The sequence below is a fragment of the Homo sapiens genome, chromosome 5 (genome assembly GCF_000001405.40).
Source record: "Homo sapiens chromosome 5, GRCh38.p14 Primary Assembly".
Classification (NCBI taxonomy): domain Eukaryota; kingdom Metazoa; phylum Chordata; class Mammalia; order Primates; family Hominidae; genus Homo; species Homo sapiens.
Window position 1 is genome coordinate 110,431,106 of NC_000005.10, and position 5,339 is coordinate 110,436,444.

The following is a 5,339-nucleotide window of genomic DNA, read 5'->3' on the forward strand; positions in this document are numbered from 1 at the left end:
GGACTTGAAGGATCAAGCTCAAGAGAAGTGAGCACCACACACACCACTAAGTTTCCCCCCAAGAATGTTCTAAAGTATTAAACTGAGAAGGCTAAGAAGCCAAGCAAAGAAGTCACCAACAAGCAGAGTGGAATTTTTCAGAAACTTTACAGTTTCTGAAAATTTGGGGCTCAAATCTACAAAACGAGAGAGGCCTTGATGAACACCTCAGGCTCTCCATTGGGACTCCTGAAAATTTACACTCTGGCGTTATGTTTGAATCACATGTAGATTTAACTTAAAAGTTAGATAATCCTGGAGTCAGTTCAGCTACTGGTTAGATGAAAATGCTCTGCCATCAATCAAGATGCATAGCAGAAGAAGGTGAACTGTCTTTCTGCTGTACATAGTATGAACCAGGAGTCTTTGTCATTTTTAATACAAAAAATCCAGAATTCAATAAAAAATGATAAGGCATACTGGGCAAATCTCACACACAGAAGGTTTATATTGGAGTTACAAATATGGACTTTAAAATAACTATGATAAGTATATTTAAATAAATAGCCAGGTGAAGAATTTTGCTAGAAAACTGGAATCTATCTTAAAATTCACATATTACTTATAGAATTGACAAAAAAAGCAGTAAGTGAAATTAAGAAGTTGGTAGGTGTATATAACAGCAGATTAGACATAGCAGAAAAGAAGATTGGTGAATTGGAAGATAGGGAAACAGAAATATCTAGGCTGAAGCAAGGGAAAAAACAGGCAGAATATATAGAAAAGAACAGCAGAGACATATATGAGAATGTTCCTAGCAGCATTGTTTGTATAATATAAAAAGAGAAATGAATCAAATATTTACCAATAGTTCAAGGGATAAATTTTGGTAGCTTTATAAAATGGAAATACTTTAAGTATTTAAAAACTTTAAATACTTGAGCTACAGTAAGTGAAGTCCAGATGCAACCACATAGAATAGTTTGGACACAAAATATTTTTTTGTAGAAGTAGAGAGGTTGACATGCAGATACAAGCAATCCAGAGAACTCTTGTGAGATACTATATAAGGTCACCATCCCCATGGCAAATAGTCAACAGATTATCCAAAGTCAATAAGAAAGAAAAATTTTTAAAGGTAGCGAGCAAAAAGGGTCATATTGCCTGTAAAGAGAAACCCATCAGACTAACAGAACCCTTATTAGCAGAAGCCTTACAAACCAGAAGATATTGGGGGCCCACATTTAGCATTCTGAAAGAAAATAAATGCCAGTAAAGAATTTCAAATCCTGCCAAACCGAGCTTCATAAACGAAGGAGAATGAAGTTTTTCCCAAACATGCAGTTTCTAAGGGAATTCATCACATCTTAACTGGCCCTCCAAAAAATGCTTAATAGAGCTCTAAACATGGGAAGGAAAGAACACTTGCTCCCACAAAAGCACATGCAAGCACACAACCCACGGTCCCTACAAAGCAAGTACATAATCGAGACTACCACACAACTAGCTAACAACACTATGAAAGGAACAAAGCCTAATATTTCAATATTAATCTTGAAGACAAATAGCCTAAATGCTCCACTTACAAGACATAAAGTTGCAAATTGGATTAAAAACAAAACAGACACATTCTTCTGCTGTCTTTAAGAGACAAACCCACCTCACACATAATGATATGCATGGGTTCAAAGTAAAGGGATGAATAAAGACCCACCACACTACTGGAAAACAAAAAGGAGGAAGAGCTACTATTCTTAAATCAGATAAAATTAACTTTAAACCAACAACAGTCAAAAATGACAAAAAAGCATGACATAATGATAAAGGGTTCAATTCAACAAGAAGACTTAACTATCCTAACTATATATGCACTCAATATTGGAGCACCCGGCTTTATAAAACACTTACTTCTAGCCTTAAGAAAATACTCTGATAGCCACAAAATAATAGTGGTGTACTTAAACACCTCACTGATATAATTAGATAGTTCATCAAGGCAGAAAACTAAGAAATTATAAATTTAAATTTGACACTTGACCAATTGGACCTAATAGACAACTACAGATTACTCCACCCAACAACGACAGAATAGACATGCTTCTGATCTGCATATGGAACATACTCTAAGACTGACCACATGCTCAATCATAAAGCAAGTCTCAATAGATTTTAAGCAAAATTATATCAAGCATCCTTCTTGGACCACAGTGGAATAAAAATATAAGTCAATACCAAGAAGAACTCTCAAAGCCATAGAAATACATTGAAACTAAACAACTTGCTCCTGAAGAACATTTGGGTAAACAATGAAATCAAAGTAGAAATAAAAAGTTCTTTGAAACAAATGAGAATAGAGGTACAACATACCAAAAACTCAGGGATGCATCAAAAACAGGAAAGTTTATATTGCTAAATGCCTACATCAAGAAGATAGAAAAATCTCTAACCACCTAACCTCATACCTATAAGAACTAGAAACATAGGAACAAACTAAACCCAATTCTGTTTAGGATTTATGTTTTTCTGTTTAGGATTTATGTTTTAGGTTTTGAAGGATGTTCCTTTGATGCTTAGTTTGTTGAGAGATTTTTCATGAAGAGATGTTGGATTTTATCAAATGCATTTGCTGAATTTATTGTTCAATGGTTATGATCAAATCGTTTTTAAATTTTAATTCTCTTTATGGATGAATCATATTTATTGACTTCCATATGTTGAACCATCTTAAATCCCAGGAATAAAGCCCACTTGATCATGGTGAATTAACATTTTGATGTGCTGCGGGATTTGGTTTGCTAGTATTCTGCTGAGGATTTTTCTATCTATGTTCATCAGGGATATTAGCCTGTAGTTTTCTTTTTCTGTGATGTCTTTGCCAGATTTTGGTATCAGGATGATACTAGTATTATAGAATGAGTTAAGGAGGTATCTTTCCTCCTTGATTTTTTGGAAAAGTTTAAAAAGAAACTAAAGTCAGAGCAGAAGAAAATAAAATAAATGAAAGCACAAGAAAAGAAATAACTAAAATCAGAGCAGAACTAAATGAAATTGAGACCCCCCCAAAACATGCAAAGAATAAATGAAAAAAAAAAACTTGGTTCTTTGAAAGGATAAATAAGATTATTGATAGACTGCTAACTAGATTAAAAAAGAAAACAGAGAAGATTCAAATAAGCAAAATCAGAAATGACAAAAGGTGACATTGCAACTGATCCCACAGAAACACAAAAATGCTTAGAAACTACTGTGAACATCTCTATGCACAGAAACTAGATCTAGAGGAAATGAATAAATTCCTAGAAAAAACACAATCTCTCAAGATTAAGCCAGGAATAAACATAAATCCTAAACAGACCATTAAAACGTTGAATAAGTAATAATAATAATAAACCTACCAACCAAATAGCCCTGGACCAGATGGATTTACAGCCAAGTTCTACCAGATATACAAAGAAACTGGTACAAATGCCACTGAAACTATTCCAAAAAATCGAGGAGGAAGGACACCTCCCTAACTCATTCTATAATACTACTATCATCCTGATACCAAAATCTGGCAAAGAGAGAAAAAGAAAACTACAGACTAATATCTCTGATGAACATAGATAGAAAAATCCTCAGCAAAATACTAGCAAACCAAATGCGGCAGCACATCAAAATGTTAATTCGCCATGATCAAGTGGGCTTTATTCCTGGGATTCAAGACGGTTCAACATATGCAAGTCAATAAATGATTCATCACATAAAGAGAAATTTAAAAATGATTTGATCATAGCCATTCATCAATAAATTCAGCAAATGCATTTGATAAAATCCAACATCCCTTCATGAAAAATCTCTCAACAAACTAGGCATCAAAGGAACATCCCTCAAAACCCCCAGCCAACAACCTACTGAATGGGCAAAATTGAAAGCATTATCACTAAGAAGTGGAACAAGACAAGAATGTCCACTCTCAGCACTCCGATTCAACTGGAAGTCTTAGCCAGAGCAATCAGGCAAGAGAAAGAAATAAACATCATTTAAATAAGAAAAGAGAAAGTCAAATTATTTCTCTTCACTTATTGATATGACTCTTCATGTAGAAAACTTTTCTGATTCCACCAGAAGGCTCCTAGACCTATTAAACAACTTCAGGAAAGTCTCAGGATATAAAATCAATGCACAAAAATCAGTAGTGTTTACTTTAAGTTTTTTAATGTTTAAAAATTTAAACATTTAATGTTTAAATGTTACTTTTCTAATGTTTAAATTTTTATTTTTTGTGGGTATATACTAGGTATATATACCTATATGGTACATGAGATATTTTGGTACAGGCATGCAATATGTAATAATTACGTCATGGAAAATGGATTATACATCCCCTCAAGCATTCCTTGGATTGTGTTAACAATTCAAATATGTAGAATTAAATAATTATTGAGTATATATCTCCTATTGTGCTATCAAGTACTAGGTATTATTCATTCTTTCTAATTTTTGTACCCATTAATCATCCCCACTCCCCTCCCGACTTCCCCTCTACCCTTCACTACCTCTGGTAAACATCCTTCTATTCTTTATCTCCATGGGTTCAATTGTTTTGATTTTTAGATCCCACAAATGAGTGAGAACATGTGATGTTTGTCTTTCTGTGCCTGGCTTATTTCACCTAACATGATGAACTCCAGTTTCATCCATGCTGTTGCAAATGACAGGATCTCATTCTTTCTTATGGCTGAATAGTACTCTATTGTGTATAAGAATGATATTTTCTTTATCCACTCATCTGTTGATGGACACTTGGGTTGCTTCTAAACCTTGGCTATTGTGAACAATGCTGCAACAAATATTGGAGTGTAGATAACTCTTCTATATATGGATTTCCTATTTCTTGAGTATATATCCAAAGTGAGATTGCTGGATCATGTGATAGCTTTACTTTTAGTTTTCAGAGGAAGCTCCATAGTGCTCTCCATAGTGGTTGTATTAATTTACATTCCTACCAATACTTGCAAGGGATCCCTTCTCTCCACATCCTCTCTAGCATTTGTTATTGCCTAATTTTTGGATAAAAGCCATTTTAACTGGAGTGAAGGGATATCTCGTTGTAGTTTTGATTTGCATTTCTCGGATGATTAATGGTGTTGATCACCTTTTCATATGCCTCTTTGCTATTTGTATGTCCTCTTTTGAGAAATGTCTATTGAAATATTTTTTCCTATTTTAAATCAGATTATTGGAATTTTTCTATAGAGTTGTTTGAGGTCCTTCTTTATTGTGGTTATTAATGCCGTGCCACATGGTAGTTTGCAAATATTTTTTCTTATTCTTTGAGTTGTCTCTTCACTTTGTTGACTGCTTCATTTGCTGTGCAG

General features: G+C 33.9%; 1 protein-coding gene across 15 annotated transcripts in view; it reads right to left on the minus strand.

Annotated features, from left to right (window-relative positions):
• Positions 1-5,339, minus strand: part of TMEM232 (transmembrane protein 232) — a 351,524-nt gene that overhangs the window by 43,675 nt on the left and 302,510 nt on the right. The gene's annotated exons all lie outside the window — the stretch shown is intronic.